Below are 14,084 nucleotides of genomic sequence, written 5' to 3' on the forward strand. Positions count from 1 at the left end.
ACCATTTTCTAAGACCCCTCTTAGACCCTTGATAATCCTAATTTAGCCAGTACCCCAAGATGGGAACAAATACTATAGGGACTTTCAGAGCTAGGAGGCAACACACCTCTACAACAGGATGTTGTAAATTCTCCAAAACATGCATTTTCAAACTACATGAGACTTCCACCACCTAATCCACCAAGAATCAGATTCAGATACACCTCTGGAGTACCTACCACCCTCTTTCCTTTAGAATCACTTCCCTGGTAAGGCACAGAAGTTAAGTGGAAGTTGCTGAAATAAAATGACATGCTAAGAATCTCTGTTCTAGAAATCACTATCCACAATACAAATGTAGAAAATTAAAATAAATTCTTAATATTTCTCCATTCAGCTTACTATATACTCTAACCAAAATACTTTAATTAAAAGCTAAGTCTCCCGAGCCTGGCCAACCATGGTGAACCTGGGCCTGTCCTAAGTGGACAACACAGTGGCTACAAAGCCCCCGGCACCAGCATGGCCTTTGGCTTGCAGATGTTCATTCAGAGGAAGTTTCCATACCTTTTGTAGTGGAGCCTACTAGTGGCTGTGGTCTCAGGCTCCGTGGCCAGCTACAGGGTAACAATAGTGGAGTCAGAGAAATGCAACAACCTCTGGCTCTTCCTGGAGACCAGGCAGCTCCCCAAAGACATGAGCACAGATCAGCAAAGCTAGGAGAGTTCTATCCAGGGCACAGAGGATTGGGGGCAGGAGGAGGAGTCCTGGAACACAGTCTTCATGACCCCCAACTGCAGGCTGACCCTCCCCATACCCTAGGGTGCCCCAACCATATCCTCTGTCCACATGTGTGACCAGGCCTGACAAACCACTGCATTCAGCTGCTGCCCCAACCTGGGACCTCCCCAGGAGGTTGGAGCAGAAAGGGTTCTCCTTGGGGTGGTGGTTCTCCTCCAGGGTATCAGGACACATTATCTGCACTGCCAGCAGAGAGGGTGTGTCTGGGGAATGGGGTGGTAGGGGCTTGTGTACTCTGTCATTCCCTTTCTAACCCCTGGACCTCCGACAAGCCCAGGGTGACAGCTGGTGCTAGGGGTGTGAGGTTAATAAATGGCTTATCTGCCAGGCACAGTGGTTTACACCTGTAATCCCAGAACTTTGGGAGGCTGAGGCAGGTGGAGCACCTGAGGTCAAGAGTTTGAGACCAGCCTGGCCAACATGGTGAAACCCCATCTCTACTAAAAATACAAAAATTAGCCAGGCATGGTGGCGGGCACCTGTAATTCCAGCTACCTGGGAGGCTGAGGCAGGAGAATCGCTTGAATCCAGGTAGCAGAGGTTGAAGTAAGCCAAGATGGCACCACTGTACTCCAGCCTGGGTGACAGAGTGAGACTCTATCTCAAAAAAATAAAATAAAAATAAAAATAAGCTAAGTCTATACATTAAGTTAAAACCACAATTTTTAAAACCCCATAATCAATAATTATGTTCTGATATGATGAATATACATGACTTAGATCCTAAAACATAGCAGGAGATTGGCTCTGTATTAGTCTATTTTCACACTGCTATAAAGAACTATCTGAAACTAGGTAATTTATGAAGAAAAGAGGTTTAATTAACTCACAGTTCTGCAGGCTTAACAGGAAGCATGACTGGGAAGCCTCAGGAAACTTACAATCATGGTGGAAGGCAAAGGGGAAGCAAGGACCTTCTTCACCTGGTGGCAGGGCAGACAGAGAGCAAAGGGGGAAGTATCACACACTTTCAAAGAACCAGATCTCATGAGAACTCACTCACTATCACAAGAACAGCAAGGGGGAAGTTTGCCCCCACAATTCAATCACCTCCCACCAGGCCCCTTCCTCAACATGTGAAGATTACGATTCGATATGAGATTTGGGTAAGGACATAGAGCTAAACCATACCAGGCTCCCATTCAATGAGACAAAAAAATTAGTATGAATTTGTATGAAGAGTAAAAAGAACTCTTTGATAGATTCCACCTACATGCAAAAACTTTGTTTTATTTATCAGACATCATTCCAGCAAGGAATCCTATTTGAAGGCGTCACTAAGTTAAGAAAGGGGAAAACAAGGGCACAATAAATATGTGCAATCTTCATTCAAGTGCTAGTTTGTAATTCCAGTTCTCCTCTTCATGCTCTGCCTGATTTTTTTCTCCACTAGGTGGATAGGTAGGGGTACTAGAGATAGTAACTCTTGTTAGGATTTGAGCTCAGAAATCAGGACTGGATCTAAGGTGGGAAACTATGTTCTAGACCCAGATAGACTACAAGCTTTGTGACATTGATTAAGTTGTCATCCCTCTGGTCAAAGATCCTTATTTTAAAAAGGAAGTGCTGTACTATATGATCTCTAGGGTTCTTTCCACCCTTATAACCCCATTATCTGGGGATTTGAGGTATAACCAATCCAGGTGGTACACCAACCTGGGGCTTTCAATACTAAGGAATCTTCTAGAAAATTACTAATAGCCAATAAATATTTAAGTATACCATCTGCTATAGTTTGGATATGTGATCCTCCAAATCTCATGTTGAAATTTGATTCCTAATGTTGGAGGTGGGACCTAATGGGAGGTTGTTTGTGTCATGGAAGCCGATACCTCATGAATCTCTTAGTGCCTTCCTCACATTAATGAGTGAGTTTTTTCTTTATTATTTCCCCTCAAGAGTTTCTCCAAGTGCTGGTTAAAAAGAGCCTAACACCTTCCCTATCTCTTGCTTCCTCTCTTTCCCTGTAATCTCTGCACATGCCAGCTCCTCTTCTCCTTCCACCACAAATGGAAGCAGCCTAAAGCCCTCACCAGAAACAGATGCTGGCATCATCCTTCTTCTTCAGTCTGAAGAACTGTGAGCCAAATAAACCTCATATATATATATATATTTTTAGACAAGGCCTTACCCTGTCACCCAAGCTAGAGTGCAGTGGCATGATCACAGCTCACTGCAGCCTCAACCTCCTGGGCTGAAGTGATCCTCCCACCTCAGCTTCCCAAGTAGCTGAGACTACAGGCATGCACCAACACGCCCAGCTAATAAAGCTCTTTTTTTTACTAAATTACCCAGCCTCAGGTATTCCTTAATAGCAACATATACAGACTAAGAAACCATCCTAAACAACAAATTAGAGGCATGCTGTCCCTGAAATTCTGACTCTGGCCATTTATCCCTTCTTAGTATCAAGTAAATGCTCTTTAGTCAATTTTGGGTAATCAGTTTCTCAATCCCATCATTTCTGTTTCCTGGTTCACTGTCAGTCATTTTCTTGTGTATGTTAAAGGACAATTAGTGACTCTCTCTACATTATTTAATACTTTCCTGAAAGGTCTCTGCTGTGCTGATTGCAAAATGTGTAAACTCTTTCCTTTTTACTCATGCCCTTCTTTTCTTGTCTCTCTTCCCTTGCTATGTTTGTCCTGCATTTGTACCTCCCGTGTATAGCATTAATCTTGCTGCTGCTGCTGTCCCTGCATATGTTTTCTTCCAGGGGGCTTTCATGTAGTGCAGGTGGGCTCAAGACACTGTACTGACTTATCCCTAAGACATCACCTCTCTGCACTGCCTACCCATTCCCATCTCTCCCCATACACATATTTATCTCAGGTCCTCCTATTCTATAAGTAAAGATTTCAGGCAACCTGCTCTTAATGTCATTGATCAATTCCTAATTTAGCTAGATATCAGAAATTGGAGCCTCTTTAAGGCTAAATTCAGTCCATAGACATGTTATATCTGCCCCACATTATATTTTAACATCCACAAAAAGATCTAAGTGTCTGCTTTTGCAGCCCTGGACCCAGGTTTACTGCAGCAATCAGCTGGAGATGAGCATACCCTTCAGCTCACCACAATGCCCAGCCGAGGGCCAGGTGCCATTTATTCTCCCACTGGGCTACTGCCTTCCCATAACTACCCCCCGCACTTTACACTCCACCTGGTCCCTGGGGGCATTTCAAGTCACCACCTGAGGTCTCCATGATGAGAGAACTTCATATTTAACTAGGAAAACTATATGTGGTCTAGGCAGAGCAAGACTGGCTTTCTGGGCAAGTGTTACCAGAAAGACCATGAGAAAATTGGAGCTCAAAATTTCCAGATCTTTTACTATTTGAATCATCTTCAGACACAGAACCTACTCTTTATCTAGAATGTGGCTTATTGAGCTAGAAGTGACATCTCTTAAATACACAGACATTAGGGAAGGATAATGACAGGAAAGGAAGGAAAAGGTGAAGGGAGGAAGAAACAATATCTATAGAGGACAAGGAGTAATCTCCATATTAGTGATTTCAAAAATAAAGATTCCTTATACTTGCCAAAATGACATGCAAATATATAATAAAGCCCACTAAAAATATAGGCTCCGTCCTTTAGGTGTTTTTTTGTTTGTTTGTTTGTTTTGTTTTGTTTTTGAGATGGAATCTCACTCTGTTGCCCAGGCTGGAGTGCAGTGGTGCGATCTTGGCTCACTACAACCTCTGCCTCCTGGATTGGAGCATTCTCCTGCCTCGGCCTCTCGAGTAGTTGGTACAGGTGTGTGTCACCATACCAGCTAATTTTTGTATTTTTAGTAGAGATAGGGTTTTGCCATGTTGGCCAGGCTGGTCTTGAACTCCTGACCTCAGGTGATCCACCCACCTCAGCCTCCCAGAGTGCTGGGATTACAGGCGCTCATGAGCCACCGCACCCGGCCTGTCCTTTAGTTTCAACACATCAAAACAAACCCAGGGATAGATATGGGCAAACTTACTTTTCTTTCCTTGTTTTTAAATCAAATTTAAGTGAATATTTATATTTACTAGGCACAGAATTAGCATGTCTTTCTACTTTCCACTCATGGGCCTATGGAAGACATCACTAATAGTTTGGGACATCATTCCAAACTGAATCTCATAAGCCTTTATGTATGACACTGGACAGCCTAACACCCGGAGCTGCCTAGCGAGATGAAGCTGCTTCTCCCCCTGGCCCTAAGAGCCTTGTGACACCTTCTGAACACTAAGGAACAGCTCCCTAATATGTGTCATAGTGGGGATACAGTGGAAGGGAACACTGGGTGAAAACTAGCAAGAAATGTAAATTGAGGAAGACAGACAGGTTTTTCCCTGTACCTTTCTGTAAAGGAAAGTTAGATGCTTCCCAAAGACAGACAGTCAAATCTTTTTTTCCCTTGACATCCCTGATTCATGGAGGTGGCTAGGTTTATGTCTAGTTATACTCAGATAACTAATTGTCTCAAGTGTCTTAAGTGTCTGGTTGATGGTTGAAAGTAAGCTCTAGGGATAAGCAGTCTCTCAAGGAGTAGATTGTGGGATGGGGAGGCAGAAGGCCACAAAGGTACTATAGCTACATCTATGCAATTCATATGATCTCTACCACCTTACACCTCCATGCCCACTCACCCATGAGGCAGGGGGCATTTATATTGAACAGAGACCTATCTATAGCTGCAAAGGTTTATCTCAAATATGTACCTTGGCAGACAAAGGCGAAGAGAGACTTCTGGAGGAAGCCATTGTAAAAACACATAACAGAACTCACCACTTATTCCTCCTAAGCTTGTCTTGAATGTAGACATGAAAAAGACCAACCCAGCCCTCAGTACTACGTGAGGTTGCTGATACAAATTCAGCTAACACTTATTATCTTATTATCTGCCTTGCATTGTGGCAGAGGCTTTTTTAATCAATCATCTTACTTAATTCTCAAAACAACCTTATGTGCTAAGTCTTCTTAGAGCACATTATTCAGATGGTGATTTTGAGGTTGCCCAGTTAATCAGTAGCACAATTCTCAGCATGTAGCATGTAATCCTGAAATCAGCTTTGAATAGAGGTGACCCACTGATGACCAAAGTGTCCCATCAGCTCATAGATAGTCATCTGGGCTCACACAGTTTTTTTAATGTAGTGCTACATTTTAAAATCTGACATATTGGCTGGGCGCAGTGGCTCATGTCTGTAACCCTAGCACTTTGGGAGGCCAAGGCAGGTGGATCACGAGGTCAGGAGTTTAAGACCAGCCTGGCCAAGATGCTGAAACCCCGTTTCTACTAAAAATACGAAAATTAGCCCGGTGTGGTGGCACTCGCCTGTAAGCCCAACTACTCGGGAGGCTGAGGCAGGAGAATCACTTGAATCCGGGAGGCAGGGGTTGCAGTGAGCCGAGATCAAGCCACGGCACTCCAGCCTGGGTGACATCGCAAGACTCCATCTCAAAAAAAAAAAAAAAAATTACATATTCCCTTTAAAATATCAGGTTTCCCATTTCTTCTGAAAAGTGGGATGACCCAGCAACATTAGGCCCACATGTTGACAACTAACTGGAGCTAAAGAGAAAACAGCTGACTTGATCACACACACACACACACACACACGCACCCCTACATTCTGTGAATGCACACTCAATACATAAAACTGCCTCACTCACTACACAACCAGCCTGGATCCTGGCCATAGAATATACCTTTGTTCTTTGCTTATCCCGAACTCTAATTTAGTTCATCCTCCACTAATTTCCTACTTGGAGTCAACTGTTCACACTTATTCTCACTTCTTTTCAAAGTCCTCTTCTCTTTAACTAGCACTGTGGGCTTCTAGTCAGCTTCTCACCATGGTCCTTTCTACATTGTTGACACACTAAGTGGATGCCTCACCCATCTTCCAGCCCTGGAGTCATTGTTCAAAAGAGAAGCAGGATTTTCTGAGAGGTGGCTAAAGTTCAGGAGGCTGTCAAATTCCTGTGACACTAAAACCAGGAATATAGACTGATGATGGGAGATTAACACTTTCATAGCACCATCAGTTCCTATTTTCCTACAACCACATTCATTGCTATTTACCTATTTTTATCAGCCATTTTTGACCCTTCAGACCCAGAAAAGATTGGCAACTAAAATAAGCTATGCAAAAGAAAAATCCAAAGAATACTTTTTCCTCCTAAATTAGCAGACCCAACATATCTAAATATTAAACACCACCTAAAAACAAGGCAGTATTCAATAAAAATCTCTGCATTTCTTCCCACACTATCTACCCAGCAGGATGATACAAAAAATTATAAAGAAATAGAGTCCAAAATACAACGCTTGCATAAGTTTTAAAAGCATTGCTTGATATGCAAAGATACTAAAAAACAAAAGAAAAAATGTGCTATATTAAATGACAAGCAAAAACTTGATCGCTGTATGTTAATTATGTGTTATTCCAAAGAAATACAGGAAGAAAGGCTATAGCTGAAAGATCAAGAGTTGGCAGAATTGTTTATTGCTAAATTCTCTGTGAAGCAGCCTTATAAATGAGCCTTTCAGTAAATTCATTAACTAGCTGGTCTCAGTCTTAAACTGTCTGGCAAGGAATTGTGCTTATTGGCTAATAAGGCTAGCAACACCCTAAATGTGTTTGCTCATATACATTAATTCACTCAAAAAGTAATTAACGGGTCTAAAAGACTCAGTTCTGGGAGTCCTACTGACGTATGTGGTATAGCCATCCCATATTTTCCATGTTAACAAACTCTTTTCCATTGCATCTGGCTGAAGGCATCGCCTATCCTGGTGTTTATGACTCATGTAGTAGGGCCAAGACTGTTGCTCAAACAAGTTCTGATGGTTGAAACATTAGCCAGCAAGCCCCTTGGCCTCCCAGAAGCTCTAAGATGTCTTACTGTACCTCTTTCTCTGAATATCCTAAAATGCTGCTAACACTCGTCCCCCTGAACTATTATTGCTTTAACTGTATTTAAGGATGTTGCCTACAATTAGCTTTGAATATAGCAGTTTAGAGAGCAATATAAAAATGGTGTAAATGGTCAGTGAATGCATGAATGATCAATACATCAGAAAAGTGAAAAAAAAAAAAACTGGAACTGGTTAAAAGTTTTCAAAATAATTATTTCATAGGAACATTAATGAATACTTCATCTGGTCTCATGAAAAAGGAGTCAAGATCAAACAAAAGGAGTGTCTAATTATTAAACAACTATTTTTCTATGTTAGTGGAAACAAATCAAACTCTCAAACAATATGAAAACTATTTGTATACCTTTGGGAATATATATAAAAAAAATATGTGATGGATTCAGCTATGAAACAATGCTTTGTCTAACTGCCTGGTTACATGGTGCCTGAATAGAGGGTGAGGATGAGGAAAGAGATGACAAATCCACAGGAAATGATGAAAGAAATTCAGCCCAGGATTTGAAAATTACAATAAGTAATCTGCAATGCAGATAATCTACATAAAGAGTAAAGACAAATCACTGAAAACAGGCTGCATGCGGTGGCTCAAGCCTGTAATCCCAGCATTTTGGGAGGCCGAGGGGGGCAGATCACCTGAGGTCAGGAGTGCAAGACCAGCTTGGCCAACATGGAGTAACCCCATCTCTATTAAAATACAAAAATTAGCCGAGCATGATGATGGGTGCCTGTAATCCCAGCTACTCAGGAGGCTGAGACAGGAGAATCACTTGAACCCAGGAGATGGTAGCTGCAGTGAGCCGAGATCACACCACTGCACTCCAGCCTGGGGGGCTGAGCAAGACTCCATCTCAAAAAAAAAAAAAAAAAAAAAAAAAAAGAAAAGAAATTACTGAAAACAGCTAACTTCAAATTCAGCAAACTAAGTCAGATTCCGCTATGGCAAAGAGTTTGCCAAAAGTTATACTTTTGACCACAGTATTAGAATAGGAAGGAAGTAATACTGAAGACAAAATTCACTAAAATATTTTGGTTTCAGTTGGAACAAAAACATTCTCCTTTAAGGAACTGGTATTGTGGAGACTTGATGATATTCTAGGAAATGAAATGAGATAATGTTTTCGAAATAGCCCCACGATAATGTCAATGAGTAATTTCAGTTCTTATCACCATATGATGTGGTTAGTGAGCAGTACTGATACGGAGGGGAAAAAAAAGGTGTCAGAATGTTAAAAAAAAAAAAAAAAAAAAAAAGCCTCCCTCTCTCAGGAAAACAGCAATCAACAGCTACTGCTGCTGGACAAAAACCTAACACTTCTCAGTCATGGGGGAAAAATGTCTGAAAATGAGTTTCACTGTTTCTCAGCAAATGTTGGCTTAAATATCTTGGCTGTGCCCATCAGAATACCTATGCCCAGCTTCATAATCATAAAGAAAACAGGATTCCAGGTCATTTGTGCTACAAGAGACTCAAAAGGTCATTTGGCCCATGTCCAAATTGACACTAACTTTTCTCTATTACACAGCACACAAACTGCAGAGTCAGATCTATGGAACCAGGTCTTTCTCCTCTTCCTTGATCTATTTCTCTTCTTCTTTTAAAAATAACATAGATTGGCCAGGCATGGTGGCTCATGCCTGTAATCCCAGCACTTTGGGAGGCCAAGGCAGGTGGATCGCCTGAGGTCAGAAGTTCGACCCCAGTCTGGCCAACATAGTGAAACCCCATCTCTACTAAAAATACAAAAATTAGCGAGGCATGGTGGTGCATGCCTGTAATCCCAGCTACCGGGGGGCTGAGGCAGGAGTATTGCTTGAACCTGGGAGGAGGAGGTTGCAGTGAGCCGAGATCGTGCCACTGCACTCCAGCCTGCGCAATAGAGTGAGACTCTGTCTCAAATAAAAAAAAAATTAAAATAAAATAAAAATAACATAGATCAGGGTAGAAATATTGCTGAAGCTCAGTTGCAAATCTACGAAAGTACAAAAAGCTACCCACCTTGGTTCCATTTTCTCACCTCCCATTTACTTCTCACATAGTGTAACTGTCTCTGGGACACTTTTTATCCCTGCCTATTTCAGAGGTTTCAAATTTTCTTCAATGGTTCCTCTTGCCCCCAGGCCAGAGGTAGGGGCTCCCTTGGCTCAGCTTCTATAGCAACCTCCTCATACCTGTGTCACAGACAGTATTTATTATCTTGTTATTGTTGTTGCTTTAGAGACAGTCTCCGTTGCCCAGGCTGGGGTGCAGTGGTGTGATCATAGCTCACTGCTGACTCTAACTTCTGAGCTCAATTGATGCTTCTGCCTCAGCCTTCCCAGTAGTTGGGACTACAGGCATGCACCACTGCACCCAGCTAATTCTTTTATTTTTTGTAGAGATGGGGTCTCACTATGTTGCCCAGGCTGGTCTCGATCTCCTGGCCTCAAGCAATCCACTCGCCTCTGCCCCCCAAAGCTCTGGGATTATAGACATGAGCCAACACACCTGGCCTACTTTGTTTTTTAACCATCCTGTAATCTTCCTATCTCTTACCACACTCACAACACTGTGACTTCTTGGAAACAGTGATTTTGTCTTATTTATCTTTGTGAATGCCATTACACCCAGCCCATAGTGAAGATCAATAACTGTTTACTGAATAAATAAATAAATGTTACAAACTTTTGATCCTCTGAATGCTGGGAAAAAGGAGACAGCCAAAGTAACATGATGACACAGGATAATATATCTAGGCTATCTAAATATTTTTCAAGCAACAAAAGATCCCAATTTGGTGCTACACAATTTTTGCAATTAAAAAAAATCATGAAAGAAACTGCTAACTCTCAGACAGCAAATTATGCCCATTGCTTAAAATTCAATTAGCCTCTGCCTTTCCTCTTACTAGCCTCTCTGCCCCAAATGCCCCCTCTACAATTTATTCCCTGCCACCCATGTTCAAGGCTCAGCTCCTACATCAGTCCTCCACAGGACTTTCCTTGACCCCTTTGCAGATCCCAGTGTCCTTTATCATACCCTCCTCTGAGGTCTCACAGCATTTTATCTCTACCTCTCTTATTTGCCTCTTTACTGCTTGCATTTTACTTATTAGATATTTTATCTCCCCTGCCTCACTGAGCAACTTAAGAGAAGGGTTTCTATATACTCTGAAGATGCCTAACATAGCACCTTGCCCAAGGCAGAGCCTTAGTAAACAGTTTTCCAATTGCTAAAACAGGAAGTTCAGATTCCTTTCTTAAAGGCAGTAAGACACAAACAAATCATCATCTGCAAAATGAAGAGGAAGTCCTTTCCAGCTGGGACATTCCATGACCTGGGGAGCCAGGTCTGAACACTGGCCAGGACCACAGATACATCAATAGGTAAAGGACAGAGTAAAGCAGTGAGCATGGCCTATCATGAGAGATGTTTCGAGGCAGATAGATAAGGAGAGCACCTAACTTGGACCGGGGATTAGAGAGGAATTTCTAGTAGAGGTGACCCCCCTTTGACCTTAGCTAGAAGGTTGAGTTAAACAAAGGAAAGGAAGAACATTCTAATTGGAGCAGGCAGCATGGGCACAGGCTTAAGAAAATAGACCCTTTTCGGAAATGCAAGGAGTTGGGTTGTAGGAAAGGAGATGGGGAATGGCTGAAGAAGATGAAGAGGTAAGACTTCCCCAAGTAAAAAGAGCTTTATATATTCGCTCCCACACTTCTTTGTTTCACTGGAGGAATGGAAAGCTATTGGAGGGTTTCTTGCAGCATGGTAACCTGATTGCTCGGGGAGTAGTGTGGGAAGAAGATCAAAGGATCCTATATAGGAGGGAGAATGCCCTGTCATGGCCATTGCAGCAATCTATGTAAAATATGAGGAGCTTTGGGGAGGAGAACATGAAAAGAGAGTAATGTTAAGATTAATATCACTTGGTGGTTCATTAGACATGGGAGTAAAGATAGCAAGGAGACAGAGGAAGGCATCAAAGATAATTACCAAATTTCTGGCTCAGGCAACTAGGTAGACAGGGCTATCATTCACAGAGATAGACAATGCAGGAAGGAGAATAAATTAAGTGGGAAGGATCCATCTTTAGCTATGTTGAGTCTGAGTTGTCCAAGGAACATTAAATGTTTGTCCAATAGGCAATGGGTTACAGAGGTCCAGTTCACACTAGAAAGATTTCAGAGCCATTCATAGGAATAGATGAGATCATGCAGGGAAATGGTATAGAACTCACAAAATACTTAAGGCAGAAAGAGGAAGAAAAACCTTCAAAGAAATTGTGAAGTTGCCATCAGAGAGGTAGGAGAAAAACCAAGACAGGCCAAAGCTAGAGAATGTTTCAAGAACCAGTGCATGGCCAACACTGCAAAACACGGCAGAGATTTCAAATGAGATAAAGACTCAAAGGATGCCCACTGCATTTAGCCCAGAGGAGGTTTTTGGGGAGCTTGGAAAGCAAAGCACTATTTCTGAGGAGTGACAGAAACCAAAGCCAGGCAGTGGATTAGGGAGTACATGGAAGTTAAGAAAGTAGAAAAAAAATGAATTTAGAGAATTTTATAGAAGTTTGGCTTTGAAAGGAAGATGAGAGATGGAACCAAAATTAGAATGATACACAGGCCTGAAAATCTGCGGGTATAGGTGTATGTCAGTGCTGGGGGACTATTACTTGGTTGGTTAGTTTGTTTGTATAGTTGAGAGAGCCTTGAACATGTTTATATACTGACAGGAAAAAGTCAGGGGGAGATAAAGATGCCAAAAAGGGAGGATTAAAAAATGAAATGCACTCCCTAAGTAAGGAGGGAACCAGGGCACTGATGGAAGAATTAGCCTTAGATGGGAGTAAGAGACTACTTTCCTTAGAGACTAGCAGAGGAGGGAATGATGTATGCAGATGTTAATCAGGTTACAGACAGAAGGGCAGGGAGTTAAGGGACTCTTCCCATAAATACTGATCAGCTGTCAAGAATGAGAGTTGGTCATAGTAACGCAGTAACGGTTTCAAAAAGCAGACATGAGACCCTGTGTGTACACATACACACACACACACACATACACACACAGAGCAAGAAAAAAGAGAAAAGGAGGGGGAAACTTTACTTTAAAAAACTTAACAGACATGTCAACCCATCACAATAACATGTGCTTCATTTGGATCATGATTCAAACAGACTTTAAAAAATCAAAAGGCAATTTGGGAAATAAGAAAATTGCCTGCAGGTCTGCTGGTGTTAGGAAATTACTGTTAACTTTTTTGTTTAGATAATGCTGTTGTGGTTAATTTTTTAAGTGCCCTCATCTTTTAGACTACGCACAATATTTACAGATAAAATAATATGGTGTCAAGGATTTGTTTTAAAGCAATCTGGGGGTAGGATAAAGGCCCTAAATTAAACAAGATTGGCTGTAAGCTGAGTGATAGATATATAAAAGTTTATCAGACTATTCTCTCTTTTATATATATCTGAATTTTTCCATAATAAAAATTTTTAAACCAAAAATATATATTTTTATAAGCCAGAAGAAAAAGCAATGAAATCATGGGAAATGAAAGAAAGATACAACTGAAAGCATACAGAAAGATTACGGTGAAGCATTGTAAGTCTGGCTAAAGATGAAGACAATAAATTTGTTGTGACAAAGTCAAGTGACTTTTTTTCCTAGCAGCATTCAGAAGCCTTGATGTGAAAGCGAAAAAGCTGCATTGGTACAGAGTACAGATCTTAAAGGATATGACCACAGAAAAAGATGCAAAGGATATGATGGTATTAACCAGGGACAAATTCAAGCAGTAAGCCAGCATCCTGTTTAGACTGGATAGGAAGAGAAGGAAAACACGGAAGCGACTGATAGACTCAAAGAAAAATGAAACTCGCCATCCTGCATAGCTGGAAAATGGGGGTGAGAAAGCTGGGAGGATGGGAGGCTGTGGGTAGCAAGCCAGTCTTTAGAGTTTAAGATGTCAGTTCTGACTGATGACAAGGTCAAGTGTAATTGTAAATGCCTATGAAGTGCCTATGTGAAAGGATGGCTGAAGTGGAAAGGAGGTGAAAGTCAAACAAAATTAAGAAGGTTATGAAATTGTGAGATGGCTGCTGGATGGGTGCTAACAGAACCCTAAAATGTCCCATAATGATGATGATAGGTTATAAATTCCATAAAGACAAGCATTGTGTCTGTCTGTCTCTCTGTCTCTGTCTCTCTGTCTCTGTCTCTCTCTCTCTCTCTCTCTCTCTCTAAACATATGCCCAGCATCTGGTACAGTACTTGGCATAGAGAAGATATTTTTATTTAATTTTATTTATTTATGTACTTATTTGAGGCAGGGTCTCACTCTGTCACCCAAGCTAGATGGAGTACAGTGGCACATTCATAGCTTACTGCTAGCCTCCT

At 41.6% G+C, this 14,084-nt stretch overlaps 1 annotated feature.

Annotated features, from left to right (window-relative positions):
• Nucleotides 13,296-13,590: a silencer, noted in NCBI's record as "tiled region #14186; HepG2 Repressive non-DNase unmatched - State 23:Low". NCBI's record gives its function as "represses a minimal TATA promoter and a strong SV40 promoter by Sharpr-MPRA in HepG2 cells {active_cell/tissue: HepG2}" and the evidence as "EXISTENCE:reporter gene assay evidence [ECO:0000049][PMID:27701403]".

Source organism: Homo sapiens, chromosome 12 (genome assembly GCF_000001405.40).
Source record: "Homo sapiens chromosome 12, GRCh38.p14 Primary Assembly".
In the NCBI taxonomy this organism is placed as follows: domain Eukaryota; kingdom Metazoa; phylum Chordata; class Mammalia; order Primates; family Hominidae; genus Homo; species Homo sapiens.